This window comes from Homo sapiens, chromosome 2, assembly GCF_000001405.40.
Source record: "Homo sapiens chromosome 2, GRCh38.p14 Primary Assembly".
Lineage (NCBI taxonomy): Eukaryota > Metazoa > Chordata > Mammalia > Primates > Hominidae > Homo > Homo sapiens.
In genome coordinates this window covers 103173917-103195221 of record NC_000002.12, presented here as the reverse complement: position 1 = coordinate 103195221, position 21305 = coordinate 103173917, and the positions used below count along the sequence as shown (strand labels likewise).

The 21305-nt window shown below is 39.4% G+C and overlaps 2 annotated features.

Moving 5' to 3' along the window:
• Nucleotides 17861–19352: an enhancer, noted in NCBI's record as "VISTA enhancer hs1093". NCBI's record gives its function as "enhancer in: midbrain (mesencephalon)[9/9]" and the evidence as "EXISTENCE:transgenic organism evidence [ECO:0001131][PMID:17130149]".
• Nucleotides 19472–20671: an enhancer, noted in NCBI's record as "BRD4-independent group 4 enhancer chr2:103791009-103792208 (GRCh37/hg19 assembly coordinates)". NCBI's record gives its function as "activates an origin of replication core promoter dependent on BRD2, P300/CBP, MED14 and CDK7 cofactors, and independent of BRD4, by STARR-seq in HCT116 cells {active_cell/tissue: HCT116}" and the evidence as "EXISTENCE:reporter gene assay evidence [ECO:0000049][PMID:35650434]".

Below are 21305 nucleotides of genomic sequence, written 5' to 3'. Positions count from 1 at the left end.
AGTTTCAATCTTCTGCATATGGCTAGCCAGTTAACCCAGCACCATTTATTGGATAGGGAATCCTTTCCCCATTGCTTGTTTTTGTGGAGCTTGTCAAATATCAGATAGCTGTAGGTGTGCAGCCTTATTTCTGGGCTCGTTATTCATTTCCACTGCTCTATGTGTCTGTTTTTGTATCAGTACTATGCTGTCACTATAGCCTTGTAGTATAGTTTGAAGTCGGGTAGCATGATGCTCCAGCTTTGTTCTTTTTGCTTTGGTTTGCCTTGGCTATTGGGGCTCTTTTTTGTTCCATTTGAATTTTAAAATAGTTTTTTCTACCTCTGTGAAGAATGTCATTGGTAGTTTAATACTAATAGCATTGACTGTAAATTGCTTTGGGCAGCATGGCCTTTTTAATGATATTGATTCTTCCTATATGTGAACATTGAATATTTTCCCATTTGTTTGTGTCGTCTCTGATTTCTTTGAGCAGTGGTTTGCAGTTCTCCTTACAGAAAACTTTCACCTCACTAGTTAGCTGTATTCCTAGGTAATTTATTCTTTTTGTGGCAATTGTAAATGGGATTGCGTTCCTAATTAGGCTTTCAGTTGTTGGTATAGTTACTAGGAATGCTAGATTTTTTATATTGATTTTGCATCCTGAGACTTCACTGAAGTTATTAGCTTAAGGAGCTTTTGGGTCAAGACTGTGAGATATTCTAAATACAGCATCTTGTTTTCTGTAAACAGGGATAGTTTGACTTCTTCTCTTCCTACTTGGATGTCCATTATTTCTTCCTCTTGCCTGTTTGCTCTGGCTAGGACTTTCAATACTATGTTAAACAGGAATGCTGAGAGAGGTTATTGCTGTCTTGTGCTGATTTTCAGGGGGAATGCTTCCAACTTTGTGCCCATTCAGTATGATGTTCACTACGGTTTGTCATCAATGGATAGGTGGGTCTCATTATTTGGAAATGTGTTCCTTTTAATACCTAGTTTATTGAGAGTTTTTAACATGAAGGGTTGTTGAATTTTATCAAAATCCTTTTCTGCATCTATTGAGATAATCATGGGTTTTCTGTCTTCAGTTCTGTTTATGAGATGAATCACATTTATTGATTTGCTTATGTTGAACCAACCTTGCATCCCCGGAGCCTATTTGATTGTGGTGGATAAGTTTTTTGATGTGTTGGGGATTTATTTACCAGTATTTTGTTGAGGATTTTTGCATTGGTGTTCATAAACTTGGCCTAAAGTTTTCTTTTGTTTTTATGTCTCTGCCAGGTTTTGGTATCACAATGATGCTGGCATCATAGGATGAGTTATGGAGGAGTCTCTCCTCCTCAATATTTTGGAATAGTTTCAACAGGAATGGTACCAGCTCTTCTTTGTATACCTGGTAGAATTCAGCTGTAAATCCATCTGGTCCTGGGCTTTCTTTAGTTGGTAAGCTATTTCTTATTGATTCAATTTCAGAGCCCATTATTTTTCTGTTCAGGAATTCAACATCTTCCTGGCTCAGTCTTGAGAGGGTGTATGTAACAAGGAATTTATCTGTTTCTTATAGATTTTCTAGTTTATGTGCATAGAGGTCTTCATAGTATTCTCTGATGTTTATTTGTATTTCTGGGGTCAGTGGTAATATCTCCTTTGTCATTTCTAATTATGTTTATGTGGGTCTTCTCTCCTTTCTCCTTTATTCGTCTAGCTAGTGGTTTGTTTGATTAATTTTTTCATAAAACCAGCTCCTGGATTTGTTGATCTTTTAAATTGTTTTTTTCATATCTTAATCTCCTTCAGTTCAGCTCCGATTTTGTTTATTTCTTGTCTTCTGCTACCTTTGGGGTGGTTTTTTCTTGGTTCTTTAGTTCTTTTAGTTGTGAGTTAGATTGTTAAATTGAGATCTTTTTCACTTTTTGATGTGGACATTTGGTGCTATAAATTTCCCTCTTGATATTTCCTTAGCTGTGTCCCAGAGATTCTGGTATATTGTATCTTTCTTCTCATTAGTTTCTAAGAACTTCTCGATTTCTGCCTTAATTTCATTATTTAATGAAAAGTCATTCAGGAGCAGGTTATTGAATTTCCATGTAATTGTAAATTTAATTGTGCTGTGATCTGAGATATTGGTTGTTATAGTTTCAGTTCTTTTGCATTTGCTAAGGAGAGTCTTATGTCCAATTATGTGATCAATTTTAAAATTTGTGCCATTTAGCAATGAACAAAAAATTGTACTCTGTTGTTTTGGGGTGGAGAGTTCTGTAGATATCTATCAGGTCCATTTGATCCAGTGCTGAGTTTCAGTCCTGAATAACTTAGTTGATTTTCTTGATGATCTGTCTAATACATTCAGTAGGGTGTTGAAGTCTCCTGCTAGTATTATGTGCAAGTCTAAGTCTCTTTGAAGGTCTCTAAGAACTTGTTTTATGAATCTAGGTGCTCCTGTGTTGGGTGCGTATATATTTAGAATAGTTAGGTCTTCTTGTGGAATTGAACCTTTTACCATTGTATAATGCCTTTCTTTGTCTTTTTTGAACTTTGTTGGCTTAAAGTCTGTTTTGTATAAAATTATGATTGCAACCCCTTCTTCATTCTGTTTTATATTTGCTTGGTAGATTTGTCTCCATTTCTTTACTTTGAGCCTATGGGTGTCATTACATGGGAGCTGGGTCTCCTGAAGACAGCGTATCAATGGCTCTTGGTTCTTTATCCAGCTTACCACTCTGTGCCTTTTAATTAGAGCATTTAGTCCATTTACATTCAAGGTGAGTATCGATATGTGTGGATTTGACCTTGTCATAATGATGTTAGCTGGTTACTAGGCAGAATTGTTTATGTGGTTTATTTATTTATTTATTTATTTCATTTATTTTTGAGATAGGCTTTTGCTCTGTCACCCAGGCTTCAGTACAGTGGCATGATCTTGGCTCACTGCAACCTCCACTCCCAGGTTCAAGTGATCCTCCTACCTCAGCCTCCCAAGGAACTGAGACCACAGCTGTGCACCACTATGCCTGGCTAATTCTTTGTGTTTTTAGTAGAGATGGGGTCTCACTATGTTGCCCAGGCTGGTCTTGAACTCCTGAGCTCAAGAGATTCACTCACCTCAGCCTCCCAAATTACTGGGATTACAGGCATGAGCCACCATGCCTGGCCTGTGTGGTTCCTTTACAGGGTCACTCATCTTTGTACTTAAGGGTGTTTTTTGTAGTGGCTAGTAATGGTCTTTCTTTTCCACATTTAGTGCTTCCTTCAGGAGCTCTTGTAAGGCAAGTCTGGTGCTAACAAATTCTCAGCATTTGCTTGCCTGAAAATGATCTTATTTTTCTGTTCCTTGTAAAGCTTAGTTTTGCTAACTATAAAATTCTGGGTAGGAATTTTTTTTTCTTTAAGAATGACAAATATTAGCCCCAATTTCTTCTGGCTTGTAATGTATCTCCTGAGGCATCTGCTATTGTACTGTTGGGCTTCACTCCGTAGGTGACCTGACCTTTCTCTCTAGTGGCTTTTAACATTTTTCCTTTCATTTTGACCTTGGAGAATCTGATGATTATGTGTCTTGGGGATTATCTTCTTTTGAAGTATCTGACTGAGGTTTTCTACATCATCTGAATTTGAATGTTGGCCTCTCTGTCTAGGTTGGGGAAGTTCTCATGGATGATACATTGAAATAGGTTTCCCAAGTTGCCTACATGCTCCCCATCTCTTTCAGGAACACCAATGAGTCATAGATTCAGTCTCTTTACACAATCTCATATTTCTCAGAGGTTCTGTTCATTCCTTTTCACTCTTTTTTCTCTATTCTTCTCTGACTATCTAATTTCAGAAAACCAGTTTTCAAGCTCTGAGATTCTTCCTTCTGCTTTGTCTATTCTGCTATTAATACTTGTGATTACATTTTGAAATTGTTGTAGTGTGTTTTTCAGCTCTGTCAGTTACATGCTTTTCTATAATGGCCATTTTGTCTGTCAGCTCCTGTATCATTTTATTGTGATTCTTAGCTTCCTTGGATTGGCTTTCAACATACTCCTGCATCTCAATGATCTTCATTCCTATCTATATTCTGAACTCTATTTCTGTCATTTCAGCCATCTCAGCCTGGTTCAGAACCCTTGCTGGAGAGGTGGTGTGGTCTTTTGCAGGAAAGAAGGCACTCTGGCTTTTTAAGTTCTCAGGGCTCTTGTACTCGTTCTTTCTCCTCTTTGTTGGCTTATGTTCCTTCAATCTTTGCAGTTGCTGACTTTCAGATGGGCTTTGTTTTCTTTTATCCTATTTGATGGCCTTGAGGGTTTGATTGTGGTATGAGGGTGACTTAGTTGACTGGCTTTGTTTCTGGAAGATTTTGGGGGGCTAACACTCAGCTCCCTACTCTTAGACTGTGTGCTTTAACCCTGGGGGACTCCTAATGGACCCTGACTTTGTTCTCTGGCTCCGTGCACTTAGGAACCCACTGCCCTGGGGTGGCCCAAGGTGCTCCCAGACCATTATTCATTAAACTCTGATGGACGATGTCACCCAAAGCATTTTGTAATGTGATGACCCCAGGATCTGTCTTCATTTGCAAATGTCAGCAGCAGTGGCTGTGGCAGCACAGTAGGGTGCATGCTTCTTGGCTGCGGCAGGGTGCTAGCTGGTGCTAGGGTGCCTGCCTCCATGAAGGTGTTCACAACAGGGGTGGAGGAAATGTGGCTTGGCAGAGGGAGCTGCTGGTGACTGTGCACATAGTTGCACTGGTGGTGATGTTGGCATGAGGGGTAGGGGGTCCTGGCAGGCACAGGTCGTTGTGCATATTCTGTGCATTGCAGGCTGGGGTGGGTGCTCCAGGCAGGGAAGAATTTGTTATTCTCTGTGCCTAGTTTCACTCCAGTGGCAGTGTTGGAATAAGAGTGGGATGCTGGTCAGGGTGGGGCTGGCTGCTCTGTGCCTGCTAAGGCTCTGACTGCAATGGCAGTTGGCGGGGGTGTGGGAGTGAACTCCACTACCACCTCGGCAGTGGCAGAGCAGGGTGCATGCATATACGCAGGCACTGGCAGGTCAAGGAAAGCAAAACCCATCCCCACACACAGTCACCAGCAAAGCAATGTAAGTGGTTGCCGTGGGCCTTGGGGAAGCTGCAGTGTAGGGAGAGAGCTACTGGGCTGCTGTGTGGTCCTCGGGGCTGCCCTGCTGGAGCTCTCTGCCAGTCAGGTATAGTCCACCAGTGCAGAAGCTATGATGCAGGCCCTCAGGGCACCTGAGGCTGTTTTGCAAGCAGGCACTGGCAGGCTGGGACCTTAGGAGAGGCCAGAAGACCAAGGAGCACTCAGGTTGGACTGGTCTCTTCTAATGGGCGAGACCACCCTGCAGAGTTTAGGTCTGACAATTTCCCTAGGGCTAAAGTTTCCTATGAGAGCAAGTGGAGCCAAGCGATATGACCATCTCTAGGTGTGCTCTGCTACAGACTCTCCCACACCAAACCTTTTGGGCTCCACATCAGCTGACTTGCTGCCCCTACAACTTCTGTAAACAGTTCTCCTTGCCAATTTGAATGTCGGTGGTGGTCGAGGCATATCTTCCTTCCAGAATTCCAGGGGCCCATCGCAAGGGTGGGTTGCTCCCATTCCTCTAGAGTTATTGGAGGCCAGGAACAAGTCCCGGTGTGCATAGCCCTGTGTAGGGCTCCCAGCTGCCTCCTCCATCAGCCCAGTTTATGTGTCTTCCCTCCATCTACTCTTGGTGCCTTCCCTCTGAAGATCTGTTAGGAGTGCACCAGTCCTCTCCATCCCTGTCCACCTGGCTATATCTACTCAGCTATCTTGCCTGATCCCTTGAAGATCTCTTTCTCTACATATCACTTCTTTGTCAGATACGGGGTTTGCAAATATCGCCTTCCAGTCTGTAGTTTGTCTTTTCCTCCTTTAAACACGGGTTTTTCCAGAGGGAAAGTTTTTACTTTAAGAGGTTTAATGTATTGATTATTTTTCAATTGAGAGTCACGCTTTTGGTGTTAAGTCTAACTATCTTTTTGCTTTAGGCAGCAAAGATTTGCTCTTGCATTTTTTTCCTAAAAGTTTTATAGATTTGTGTTTTATGTTCACATCTGTGTTTCATTTTGATTCTAATTTTAATCAGATGTCAGGTGTAGGTCAAGGCTCTTTTTTATCGTTTATTTTAGGTTCACAGGTACATGTGCAGGCTTGTTATGTAGGTAAAATGTGTGTCATGAGGGTTGGATGTACAGATTATTTGATTACCCAGGTAATAAGCATAGTACTTCATGGGTAGTATTTTGACTCTCATTCTTGTCCCACCATTAACCATAAGTAGGTCCTGGCATTGGATGTTCCCTTCTTTTGTTCATCTCTACTCAGTGTTTAGCTCCCACTCATAAGTAAGAATATGTAGTATTTGGTTTTCTGTCCCTGTGTTAGTTAGCTTAGGAAAATGGCCTCCAGCTCCATCCATATTGCTACAAAGGACATGATCCCATTCTTTTTTATGGCTGTGTAGTACTCTATGGTGTATATGTACCACATTTTCTTTATCCAATCCACTATTGGTGGGTACCTAGGTTGATTCTATGTCTTTGAAATTGTGAATAGTGCTGCAATGAACATATGTGTGCATTTGTCTTTATGGAAGAATGATTTATAATTATTTTAGTATATATCCAATAATGGATTTGCTGGGTCAAGTGATAATTCTGTTTTAAGTTACTTAAGAAATCACCAATCTGCTTTCCACATGGCTGAACTAATTTACATTCCCATCAGCAATGTATAATTGTTCCCTTTTCTCTGCAACCTTGCTAGCATCTGTTACTTTTTGACTTTTTAGTAATAGCCATTCTTACTGGTGTAAGATGGTATCTCACTGTGGTTTCGATTTGCATTTTTCTAATGATTAGTGTATTAGTCCGTTTTCATGCAGCTGATAAAGACATACCTAAGACTGGGGAGAAAAAGAGGTTTAATTGGACTTATAGCTTCCCATGGCTGGGGAGGCCTCAGAATCATGGTGTGAGGCAAAAGGCACTTCTTACATGGTGGTGGGAAGAGAAAATGAGGAAGAAGCAAAAGTAGAAACCCTGATAAACCCATCAGATCTTGTGAGACTCATTCACATCACAAGAATAGCATGGGAAAGACCAGCCCCCATAATTGAATTACCTCCCCATGGGTCCCTCTCACAATATGTGGGAATTCTGGGAGATACAGTTCAAATTGAGATTTGGGTGGCTATAGAACAAAAATATAACATTCTGCTCCTGGCCCCTCCAAATCTCACGTCCTCACATTTCAAAACCAATCATGCCTTCCCAAAAGTCCCCCAAAGTTTTAACTCATTTCAACAATAACCCAAAAGTCCACAGTCCAAAGTCTTATCTGAGACAAGACAAATCCCTTCTCCTTATGAGCCTGTAAAATCAAAAGCAAGCTAGTTACTTCCTAGATACAATGGGGGTACAGGTATTGGGTAAATACAGCCATTCCAAATATGAGAAATTGGCCAAAACAAAAGAGTTACAGGGCCCATTCAAGTCCGAAATCCAGTGGGGCAGTAAAATTTTAAAGCTCCAAAATGATCTCCTTCAACTCCAGGTCTCACATCCAGATCACACTGATGTAAGAGGTGGGTTCCCATGATATTGGGCAGCTCCACCCCTGTGGCTTTGCAGGATACAGCCTCCCTCCCAGATGCTTTCATGGGCTGGGGTTGAGTGTCTGCAGCTTTTCCAGGCATGCAGTGCAAACTGTCAGTAGATCTACCATTCTGGGGTCTGGAGGATGGTGGCACTCTTCTCACAGCTCCACTAGGCAATGCCCTAGTGGGAACTCTGTGTGGGGGCTCTGATGCCACATTTTTCTTCCACACTACCCTAGCAGATGTTCTCCATGAGGGCCCCACCTCTGCAGCAAACTTTTGCCTGGGCATCCATGCATTTTCATTCATCTTCTAAAATCGAAGCAGAGGTTCCCAAACCTCGATTCTTGACTTCTGTGCCCCTCCAGGCTCAGCACCATGTGGAAGCTGCTAAGGCTTGGGGCTTCCACTCTCTGAAGTCACAGCCTTAGCTCTGCCTTGGCCCCTTTCACTTAAATGGCTGGGACACAGGGCAACAACAAGTCTGTAGGCTGCACAGAGCATGGATACCCTGGGCCCAGCTGACAAAATCACTTTCTCCTCCTGGGCCTCTGGGCTTGTGATGGGAGGGGCTGCTGTGAAGGTCTCTGACATAGCCTGGAACATTTTCCCCACGATCTTGGGGATTAACATTAGGTTCCTTGCTACTTATGCAAATTTATGCAGCTGGCTTGCATTTCTCCTCAAAAAATGAGTTTTTCTTTCTTACTGCGTTGTCAGGCTGCAAATTTTTTGAGCTTTTAGTCTCTGTTTCCCTTTTAAAATGGAATGCTTTTAACAGCACTCAAGTCACGTTTTGAATACTTGGCTGCTTAGAAACTTCTGCCAGATACCCTAAGTCATCTCTCTCAAGTTCAAAGTTCCACAAATCTCTAGGGCAGGAGCAAAATGCCATTAGTCTCTTTGCTAAAAACATAGGAAGAGTCACCTTTGCTCCAGCTCCCAACAAGTTCCTCATCTCCATCTGAGATCACCTCAGCCTGGACCTTATTGTCCATGTTGCTATCATGCTTTTGGTCAAAGCCATTCAACAGGTCTCTAGGAAGCTTCAAACTTTCTCACATTTTCCTGTCTTCTTCTGAAAAGTTGAGATTTGGGTGAGGACATAGTCTTCTTTGGAAAAGTGTCATTCATGTCCTTTCTCCATTTTTAAATTTTTTTTTCTTGTAAATTTAAGTTCTTTCAAGATGCTGGATATTAGACCTTTATCAGATGCATAGTTTACAAAAAATTTTTCTCCCATTCCATAGGTTGTCTGTTTATTCTTTTGATAGTTTCTTTTGCTGTGCAGAAGTTCTTTAGTTTTATTAGATTCCATTTGTCAATTTTTGCTTTTGTTGCAATTGCTTTTGGTGTCCTCATCATGAAATCTTTGCCAGGTCTTATGTCCACAATGCTACTTCCTAGGTTTTCTTCTAGAGTTTTGCTAGTTTTAGGTTATACATTTCAGTATTTAGTCTGCCTTAAGTTGATTTTTGTATATGGTGTGTGCAAGTGGTCCAGTTTCAGTCTTGTGCATATGGCAAGCTAGTTATCCCAGCACCATTTATTAGATAGGGAGTCCTTTCCCCATGTCTTGTTTTTTGTTGATTTTGTCAAAGATCAGATGGTTGTAAGTGTGTGGCTTTATTTCTGAACTCTGGACTCCAGATGTCCAGGTCTTCAAAACCATTTATTGAAAAGACAATCTGTATTAGTGTCCTGAGATTTCTATAACAAAGTATCATAGAAAGGATGGGTGGCCTAAACAACAGGCATTTATTTCTCAAAGTTCTGGAGACAGAAAGTCCAAGACCAAGGTGGTGGTCGGTTTAATTTCTGATGAGGGCTTTCTTTCTGGCTTCTAGACAGCCACCTTCTCACTGTGTCCTTCCATGGCAGGAACAGCGAAATCTCACTTCTCTTTCTTTTTTTATAAAGCCACTAACTCCATCGTAAGGACTCCACCCTCATGATCTCATCTAACCCTATTTTCCTCCCCAATGCCCATCTCCTAATACAGCTGCATTGGGGGTTAGGGATTTGACATATGATTTTTTTTTTTTTGAGACAAAGTCTCACTCTGTTGCCCAGGCTTGAGTGCAGTGGCATGATCTTGGCTAACTGCAACCTCCGCCTCCTGGGTTCAAGTGATTCTTGTGCATCAGCCTCCCAAATAGCTAGGATTACAGGTGCCTGCCACCACACCTGGCTGATTTTTGTATTTTAGTAGACATGGGGTTTCACCATGTTGGCCAGGCTGGTCTCAAACTCCTGACCTCAGGTGATCCACCCACATTGGCCTCCCAAAGTGCTGGGATTACAGGCATGAGCCACCACACCCGGCCAACATATGAATTTTTGAATGGGATACAATTTAGTCTATGGCACTATTGTAAATATGTTGAATAGGTTTTGCACATTTGTCAAAAGTCAGTTGGCCATATTTATGTGTGACTGTCTCTGGGTTTTCTGTCTTATTAATCTTTTTATTTATCCTTCTGATAATACCACATAGCTTTGGCTACTGTAGCTATAGAGTAGCCCTTAATATCTGTAGAGTGAGCCTTCCCATTTTATTATTATTATTTTTTAAAGATTGTTTTAGCTTGTGCCCTTCCACAGAAACTTTTGAATGAGCTTATCTATGTGTACAGAAACCTTGGTGGGATTTTGGTAGGAATTGCATTAAATTGAGAGCTCAATGTGGGGAGAACTGACACCTTTTCTACCTGAATTTTCCATGTAATAAACACTGTATGCCTCTTCAATTTTCAATTATTTAGGTTTCTTTTATTTCTTTCTCAACATTTTATAATTTTTCATCAGACAGATTCTATACTAAACTATATTGTGTAGTTTAACTTTATTCCTAATTATAACTTTCTTTGTGGTATTTCTACTTGGTACCATATTTTAAATTTTACTTTCCACATATTCATTGTTAGTATACAAAAATATGTTTGAATTTTTTGTACTGATCTTGGATTTTGAGACCTCTCTGAACTCACTAATTAACTGTAGAAGAAAGTTTGTTTGTTATTAGTTTGTTCGTTCTTCAGATTCCTTGAGACTTTCTATGTAGACAATCATGTCAACTTAAATAAGAATAGTTTTATATCCTTTTTATCTGAATACATTTTGTTTCTTTTTCTTGCCTTATTGCAATTGCTAGAAATTCTATTATGTTAAATGAAAGTGGTGAAAGAATATGTCCTTGAATAGTTCTCAACCTTAGGGCAAAATCTTTCCCCACTATGTGTGATGTTAGGTACAGGTTTTTTTGTAGGTGCTATTTATCATGTTATGGAACTTTCTTCTATTTCTAGTTTACAGAGAGTTTTATTTTGTTTTGATTTTTTATTATGAATAGTTGTTGGATTTTGTCAAATGCTTTTTCTGTCTCTATAGATATGACTGTAGGATTTTTATTCTTTTGCTTATTTATATTATGGATTGCATTGATTTTCAAATGTCAAAGCAGTCTTGTATACCTAGAATCAATCCCACTTGTACATATTTTATAATTCTTACTATAGCTTGCTAGATTATATTTGCTGATTTTTTTAAAGAAGTTTGAATCTAAGTTCATAAGACATATTAGTTTGTAGCTTTCTTTTTCTTTTCTCTTAGTACTGTATAATTTTGGTATAAGGGCAAAATTAATCTCAAAAAACGAGTTGAAAATGCCCCCTTCTTTCCTATTTCCTGAAAGAATTTGTGTAGTATTGGTGTTATTTTTTTCTTAATTTAATTCCTTCAGTGATTACAAAACTATTGAAGTTACCTTTTCATTATAGTTTGATTCTGGCAGGTTGTAGTTTTCAAGCAACTAGTCTCTTTCCTCTCTCTGTCTCTCTCTCTTTATATGTATACAATATTATATAATATATAATTACATATTATATATTACATATATTAAAATTATATATATTATATGTTATATATAATATACATATATTTACTTGTGGTTTATCCTTTTATCATTATATAATGCCTTCTTTGTCTCGATTCTTTCTATCTTCTGATTTCTACCTTATTTATTTTCTGGATTAATGTACACATGGTACATCTTTTCCCTGTACTTTTACCTTCACCATCCCCATACCATTGAGTTTCAGGTAAATTTCTTACAAACTGTATATATTTAGGTTTCTTATTTTGTTCAATCTATTATTATCTCTAGAAGAGTGTAGTTAAATCATTTATATTTAAAGTCATTAATGATATATTGAGGCTTAACTCTGACAATTTATCATTTGTTTTCTGTGTTTCCTCTGATTCTTTTTTCTCCATTTCTCTCTTGCTTTTTTTTTCTTAACTTACCCAGTTAACAACAACAACAACAAAAAAACAATTTATAGGAGTCTATCTTGATCCATTTATAGTGTTTTTGCATACATTGAATTGTATAATTTTTCATAGTGGTTGCTCTAGGTATTACAATGTACATGCATAACTTATCATAGTCCATTGGTATTGACCTTATACCTTTCAATGAAGTGCAAAAATCTTACAAGTATTTCGGCATCTTAACCAACCCTACATTTTAAAAGAAGTTTAAAAATTTCCTCCATATACATTGAACTCTACATCAGTGTTCTGCACGCATGGAAAATGGCATGCTTTCCCAATTCCAGCTTTGGAGATATCAGTCAATTAATGATCAGTCACAAGCTAGATATGTTCAAAGTGCTGCTCTGACAGCTGTGCTGTGTTTCAAGTATGAGACATTCAACATTCTTGGATTCCACTGACACTGAAAGCCAGTCTAGATTTCCACCCAAAGCCACTGCCCTAGAATGCTGAAAGAAAACATTTTGCCTGGGAAAATTCAAACCATTTCTCAGGCACATGTTTGATTGTTCAGTGTCAACACTCAAGGACCTAAGTGCTACATAATCTTTATTACTTTATAATTATATTTCAATTTCAAAAGTGTTCCTCTTGTTTGTTTTCTGGGAATCTTTTTTGAAACTTGACAAGTAATTAGTTGATCAGCTTGCCTTTCAGCATCAAGTGGTATTTTATCTTAACCTAAGATGTCTTTAATAAAAAGGTATCAATGATGTGATAATTCAATTCAGAAGCCTCCAGAGATTTGCTCATGTTATATTTGTCACACAAAAGCAGAGATCTACTCAAGTGGAATGTGAATCACTGTGTTCATTTATATTTAGCACTATTAATAAACTATGAATTGAAGATATGACAAGTACTTCTTAACATGGTTTATACAATACATAAATATAAAATGTTTAATATATATTAACTATAATGATACATTTATGTTATATATTTTATGATACATTTAATTTAAAAGTACAGCAATTAATTCATCTTGGATGTCAAGTAATAATCACATCTCTGCAACTTTGTAGTTAAATTTTATGTTTCCTTCTTTCCCCCCTTCCTTCTTTCTTTTTGAACACCATGAACTCCTCAAGATGCACTGTTGTATCATTTTAATATATAATAAATTGCATTGCTTTTAGCATATGATGTGCTTTCAATATTTTGTAGTAGATGGGATAAAAAAATTATAATTTAGGTCTACCAAACAATTTTATGTCTTTACAAAAACCCTGGTGGGATTTTCTAGGTTATAAAGATTGAATGAATCCTTTCATACCCTGCATTGGAATGAGGAGTACTAAAAGCTAAAACTATCCAATAAACCTACCTCCTTTATTTTACAGTCTCTTCAGGCTTGCAGTATATATGAAAATACAATGATTACTTAGTTTGTTGCATCAAGAAGGTTTAGAGTATTCTCTTAGTTATTCTGAATCTTTCCATATGAAGAGTGTAAGATAGGTATTTACACAGGTATCAGGTATTTGGTTGTCATTTCCTACCGTTACTGAAATGTAGCATTTGAAAAATTATTGCTCGCATTAGGTCTACTTCTTAAGACTGCTAAGCAACAGGAACTTCCAAGAAATTTTATAAAATAGGAGGAAAAGAACCATGCTCAGAGACAGAAATGCCTCAGGACTCAGCTTATAAAGCTAGAATGTCTGAGTTCGACTCCTGACACCTTCAATTTCTACATCTGGGACCTTAGACAATGCTATGATCAGAATGTGTGTGTCCCCTAAAATTCATGTTAAAAAACTAGTCACCAATGTGATGGTATTAGGAGGTGGGGCTTTTAGGAGGTGATTAGGTCATGAGGGAAGAGCCTTCCTGTGTGGGATTAGTGCCCTTATGAAAGAGAGCCCAGAAAACTGCCTTGCCCCTTCCACAGTGTGAAAACGCAGTCAGAAGGCACCATCCATGAACCAGCAAGCAGGGCTACGTCAGACGTTGAGTCTGCCAATGCCTTGATCTAGGACTTCCCATCCTCCACTACTGTAAGAAATACATTTCTATTGTTTATAAGCTACCTAGTTTAAGGCATTTTGTTAGAGAAGCCCAAACTGATCAAGACAGACACTGTACTTATCCATGCAGGGTTTCCCTATGTATAAAATGAAAAATCCTAACAGTTCCTAATTTATGGGATTGGTATAAGGTTTAAATGTGTTAATCTTCATCAAGTACTTGGAAAACTGCCTGGCACATGAGTATTAGCTGTTATTATTTCTGAGCAGAAGCTGACACTAAAATGCTACAGTATCCATGGGATAGGAGACCTCCTTCATACTTTACAATCACACCTCTCGATGGTACAACAGAATAAGAATCAAAAGCAGCTGAAAACAGTTAAGGCAGGGTGAAACATCACTACTGTATCACTTTAAAGTAAATGTGCTAATCCTGTATCTGCAACTTGTCATTTCTTTATAGAGCCTTATCCAGAATGTTTTCACTTATATATTCGTTCAACACTATTTATTCCACTGCACTGAGGTAGTTTCTGTAAGAAAATACAAAAGGTAATAGACTGTGCCTTCAAAGACTTATGGCTAGTACTACAGAAAAAAATATGAAAAAGATAGCTAGCTAGAGAGAGAGAGAGAGAGAGAAATGGCTATCTGCCCATCCTAAGAGTGAGTTATTTTATTGCTACCTAACTTACTTCAGAAGTTGTTAGGAATATCTACTTACAGTTTTTAAATGATGGATCGATTTTAACCTTCAATATTTCTAATTGTCTTTTTACGTTTAGCTAAAACCAACAAGCTGTTTGCTTCTCCATGAAACTATTTTGCTGAATTGATCCTCGATTTCTCTCCAGCAATGTGGAACGGGCATGCGTTTGCCTTTGCCAACATGTTAACACCCTCCATCCCCTCACCGTTTGATTGTTTCTGGGATTAGCAGTAGGGGGCTCACCAGGTCCACCCAATGTGCACCCTCCTCCCGGCTTCCCCTCTGCTTTTAGACTGCAGGAAGGAATTGACTGGGTTGCTAACCCACACATCACTAAGGGCCTTAGTTACTGATCTGTAGATTATTAGAGAAGAGATCCCAGCTAGCTGAGGACATTTTGTTTATTGCATGGATGGGAGTGGGGAGGGGGCAGCCTCGGCCAGGAGCTATGTTTGCTGTTTTTGCCTAATGTTTAAATGGAAGAAAATTCCCTTGCAGCTCTCTCCCAACACAGCACTTTCCTTTGCCCTTATGTGCCTGTTATTTCCTTGCCCTGCAAGCCTCTGAGGCACCCTGCCCTGTTCCCTTACCACCCTACTTGGCCGGGTGCTGCCTCCAGCTCAAATGAAGTAGAACAGGCCTCCCAGGGCTTGGCACATGGCACAAGAAGGCAATGTGTGTGGGTTCTTTTTTTTTTTTTTTTAATTCTTTTTTCCTTTTTTTCTTTGTAACTCTTAATGATCTTTTCTTTGTGACTCCCGTCCCCAATTATGTTCTCAAAAAGCAAAGTTGATGCATATGTACACAACCAACAGACTGTCTTCTCCTTGTTTTTCTCATGATTGTGCCTGTGAATAAAACCCTGAAATTATCAATTGGATAATAGAGCGATGTAGCTCTTCCAAATGGTTGGGTTAAATTGGCTGTGGTTTAAAGTAGAATTATCATTAATAATAATAGTAATAACCCACCCACCAGTGGAATATTCATTCACACATAATAGCATACAAGCCCCCTGCTCTGGAAGTATCCAGGGGGTTGCTGGCTGGACAGAATCCTGTACATAAAGGGAAAGAGAATGCCTGGATGACCCTCCTGGGAAGGCTCCTTTTCTGCTTTCTTCACCTCTCTCTTCAAGCCCCAGTTCTAGTACCATGTTTCCTAGCTTTTAGCAACCCCCTCCCCTCTCTGATTGTATTTATTATCTCTAACACCCATTTATTGCTATTGATCTTTTAATGAGCACCTTGTCCCTTATACTTGTATCTTTCTGCTTGATCCACTTCCAGGTTTCTACTCCTGCAAGAGTCAGGTTTCTCAGAGACAGCTCCTCTCTCTCAAACTTCATATAAGTATTTTCATTCATTCAAATAATTCCTTTAGTGCTGTCTCATCTACATCAGAAAGTATTAGATAAAATGTGTCTCTCTTGATGACACTACTAATAATATGAGTGACATTCACTGTGAGCTAACTCTATGCCAAGTGCTACGTTGAGTCCTTCATGAACATTGACTAACCCTCGTTATGTTATTAATCCTGCTAATTCTAAGAAAGAAGTATTGTTTCCCATATACTCCAGATGACATAACTGAAATTCAAAGAGGCGAAGTAAATTCATCAAGGTTATAACATTAGTAATTTTCGGAGCTGGTCCAAACCTAAGTCTATAGTTGTTAACCGCCTTTTACCCTGGTGATAATGAGAGCGGGAGTGTGAAGGCAGCATTTTCTCCTGACAGGTGCTAACATAAGGATTGTGCAATTCTATCTTATAACACTGAAAACAAGAAAACAGGGCAAATTGTGAAGGAAAAAAAGTGAAGGAAAAAATGACCCTCTCTATTAAGAAGTCAGAAATAATTCTAGGATTCCTTAAGCAGCATGATAGTCATTGCACTTTGATCCACCATTTCTGTGGAGTTGTTTTTTAGGAATTGCAGGAAAAAAAGCAAGTGATTCTATTTTTGTGATGCTTAATTCAGTAGGTGAGAGGATGTCAGTTCAAAATGTTGCACTGGCCTTGTGCTATGCAGAGCTGGCTGAGGAGGCAACAGAAATATCTTCCCCTTCCCATGGCATAGTTTCTTTTATTCATCTATTGAGGCTGGTACTGCCCTGCTTATGAACTTGCCTCTATACTGATGTTGAAACTCTCTCAAGTCCCAGTGAAATACTTCTAAGCAAAAATATTTCATGAAACAATATTTATCTTTGTGTAATCATCTGCAATGCTTTCTTCCTGTATGTTATGCCTCATAGGCATGTCGTGAAATGATTTTGAAGCTTATTAAACCATCACTTTCTCCTGCACATCCCAGTTACATTGTTATGGGTCCTTGATTATAAATGTTTTCCTGGTATTTATCACAGCACTTTTGTGAATATCATTCTTAAGCTTTCTTTGTATTCTGTTACCTTCAGCTGTGCTTCACTGTCATTTGATTGCACATATTGCATTTGTTTGGGGCCTATTGTTTAATGAGGAGAGAATTGATCCTTTAGCAATTACCTACTTATTGGGGCCATCCAAGGTCAGGGGTATTCCTGGAAATTTTTTAATGCTGGTAAAATTGAACCAATAAGAACTCCTTGTCTGTCATTTTCTCTTAGATATTAAATGATTGGAATTAAATAAAATGTGATTGTGCCATTTTGAGTGATTGACAATATCTTCCTCTAATTCCTCGTTACTTCCCTATTGTTTCCTCGGGTTTTCCTTTGTTTTACTAGCACTGCTGGGTTTCAGAGCCTGGTTGTAGTATCTGTTTTGCTTGGATTTTTCCTTCCTTCTCTTCATCCACAGTCTTATTCCGTCACGCAACCAGGGGAGACTGACATGACTTACCTTTCACATTTCTTACATTTCCTGATGATGAGGGATTTGTTGACATTTTCTGCAAACCCTGTTGCTATTATGAATCGGAAACTAGATTTCAAGCTCCAGCATGCTCAGAGTTAAGCTGCATTGAAAAGGTAGAAAAAACTAAATGAGAAAAACTGAAAGATTTAGAATAAGAGATCATTTGTAACAATAAAGCAGTCCCGTCCCCCCAGAATACAACCTTTTAAGTGCATCTACCAGAGTCAGACCATGAGGTTTTTCTCCTTTTAGAACTGAAGCAATGTTCCTTTTTGCTTTCTAACCTACTAATTATGGTCCCAGCTAATAAATATATCACTATTCTTTTGTGACTATTATTATCATTATTGTTTAGTTAGTTATCCAAGAAATAAAACACTTTCAGATAGGGAGACAGTCCTCCTAAACTTTAAAAACCGTATGGTATATTTCTGGTTTTGAAACAGAAGTGAAACCAGTTACTTGGAATTCCTTTGTCTGTATCTGCCAATATCCAACTCAAGTTTCACAATTTTGGAGGATTAGATGCTCTTTAAAATATTACCAAAATTCATAGCCTGTTATACTCTATGTTCACGATTCTTCAGTCTCTGTTAAAAGAAAAATCTATCCATATGTGACTGTACAAACACAGGCTGTTTAGGCACCAGAGTGAATGCAGAGGCTAAACGAGAACTTTTATCTTTGTACATGGACAGGAGCATAGATAAACCACATGACTCTACATTCATGTGAACTACACACACACCTTCACACACACGCACAACATTGATGCCCTTCTTGATTGGTTTAGCCTGTTTTCTGCCACTGAATATAAGGATATTTTCAGACTTGTCCAAACGTTTGATTTTTGTAATTATTGTTAGGTTTTCTTTTATCTTGCTCTACATGGAAAATAAAATTGTGATTTAGATAGTTTGGTCCCAGCGGTCCTGTCTGCGCTCAGCAAATGGTTCCATGTCACTCCCTGCATCACAATATGGGAGCCACCGAGCTTGGCGGCAGCTAATCCTCTGAGCCTGTTAATAAGCTTAGGAGCACGTTCATTGAAGGCTGACGCGTTAGGCACAAACAGGGAGAAAATATCTACTGGGGGAAGCTGAATTGGTTTTAATCATCTGCTAATCACCAGTAATGAGACCTACTCTGGGGAAGAAAAGAAAAACAGATAGTCAGAGGGAGGTTTTGTTCTTCACAGCAGAGTAACATGGAATGAGAGGGCAGCTGTTATTAGGAAAGAAAGGATAGAAAGAAAGAAGGGATTTGGCCCTAGCAGATGAAGCGTCCTCGGCGGCACTCTGTTTTGTTAGCCGAGTGTTCCTTTCATTCAGTCCCTGAAACTTCAGATCTTGCAGGCTCCCTGACAGCCCACCTCTACGATATTGCTTCTTGAAGAAAGGAACCTCCCCCTGTCACCTCGGCCTTTACATTCGTTCCTGGAGCATTTTACCATAGCACTTTACACAGTATTTTTGCTTGAGGAGAGAAGAAAAGGAACTAGCAAGGGGAGCTCTTGATGGGTACCAAGGCATAAAAAAAAGGGTGTGTGCAGGGGAGCGGGCATGCAGAAAGTGCGGTGAGAGCAATTGTGATCCCTTGTCATGGGAGGTAAGGCCCGACAAGGAATTCAGGAAGGAAGAATCAGTTGCAAAATGGTCGGTCCCCGCCAAATTGGGTAGACCGTCTTTTTAAGTCGCGGGCTCTGTGTTTCAGGAAACTCAAGTGTGGCTAGGACTTGGCTGCCATTTTGGATGCTGTTATTTCACAGACCTTTTCTTCAAAGTTCCAATTCTTGCAATTGCTAATAATATAACTGTGTTTCACACGGCGGCTTAGGAATACCGTTCTACATTGGACAGGTGCTCTCCATGAGGAGAAGTTTATAATATACCTGCCTGTATAATCTCTCTGGAGTAATCAATATATTCACGTAGGACTGAATGATTACAGGAGCTTCCAGGGCCACCGCTGACTCTTCCTTCTTAAGCTCTTGTAGGCTGAGCCAGGGGAAACCCAAAGCACAGCCACCCTGGGTTCCACCCTGGACCAGGCCCTTCATCCTCAGCTTAAACGTCTTTCTCAGCTCTCAGCCATCCTCATACTGAAACCTAAACTCCTGGTACCTGGACCCACGTTGTCCTCAGTCTCTCCTTCCAGTCACCTGGCTTGGATTCTGTTCAACATGAGGGCTTGCTGTTTCCTGCATGGCCTGGCCTGGCCCCATGGTTTTGGTGAGTGCTGTGCCCTCTTGGTGTTCCCTTTGCTGATTGTTATTTCTTGTAATTGTTTCACTGTTTAATAGTGAGGAAGACTGTCCCCTAACCTAAAAATGTCCCCATTCTCTCTGGTCTATCATGGCAGTTTGCTTCCAAATATCCTGTAGCACTAATCCTATTCTAGAATGGTGAAGATTTTTGTGCCACTCTCTTCAATTCCAGGGACAGCGACATTCTTCCCCACATCCCTCACACCTTCCGGCACACAGCCCTGCAAATAGTAAACTTTCCACATGTTGAAACAGACTGAATTTTAAGACCTTTAGTGGGAGAAATCAAATTAAGATTTTGGCCTTCTGTAAATGTAAATTTAAGTAGTTTGCAGTACTCAGGATGGAAAAAGCAAGCCAAACTTGAATGCTTATATTTACTTTTACTTGTTTGCCATTTATATTCATTATTTCAGCTATAGGCAGAGTTGGAAGAGGGGAACATCAGAGTGAAACTATACGGTCTATTTTCCAGAAAAACAGAGAAAGCAAAACTGGTGGAAAACATTCACTGAGTCATCTTTTCATAAACTTCATCTGAGTCATCTTTTCATAAACTTCTCACATACTACCCACAAGTGCTGAGGCCTCCCTAGCTGACAGGATGCCTAGGTACAACACTCACAGCCTCTGTCTTGGGGGAGGTCATAGGCTTAGAAGGAAAGGAAAACTTAAACAAAATGTTAGCAACCCAGTGCTATTCCATTTCATGAACCCGCCAATGCACAGGAAGTACTGAGGAGGCAAGATGCATCCTGGCCAAGGCAACTTTTTTAGGGACAGCTCAAGAAAGACAGTGACCTATAAGGCTCAGTCCTGGAAGGTAAGGAAGGAATGTCCAGGGGAAGAAATCTAGGACTTCCAAAATTAGAAAAGGCAATGGCATCGAGAGAGCAAAGAGATAGATCGATGTGCTTGTTAAGAGAATGTTGAATAGTTGGTGCGGGTAGAGGAGGTGTATAAGGCCATAATTACAAATTAGAAAAAGTAGGCATTGGATATAATTTTAAGTTCTACCACGGAGCCTGGTGATAAAAAAATCTCGTCTGGGGAAAGATTTAAAAGCATCTTTCTATTTAGATCACTGCCCACGTTAGCTACTCTAGATTTTGTGTTTTAAGAACTGAAAATCCATGTGGGTATCATCCCGTCAAAAGGCCATCTCATGATACCATGGGCTTAAAGTGTCAGGCACAGTTCTTAGCACATTGTGAGCTCAATATTTGTGTGATTATTATCATCAACATCATTATTATTTATTTCCATACTATGAAAACTTTAGAAGAAAATTATCTAAATTCTTTCATTTTTAAAAAGTGGGAATTGTGGTCTAGAGATAGAAAGTGACTTATCAAAGGCCAACGGTTAATGGGAGTGATACCTTTTATTACCATTAGAACTTTTCAAAGGGTGTTGATATCCATTGTCTCAGACACAGAAAAAGTGAAGTAAGGAATGGAGCTATTGTACTTGACATGACAATGACATGCTTCACACTCACTGCTAATCACAGGCAAAGGTAAAAATTGAACCTAATTATTGGTCCAATAACCAC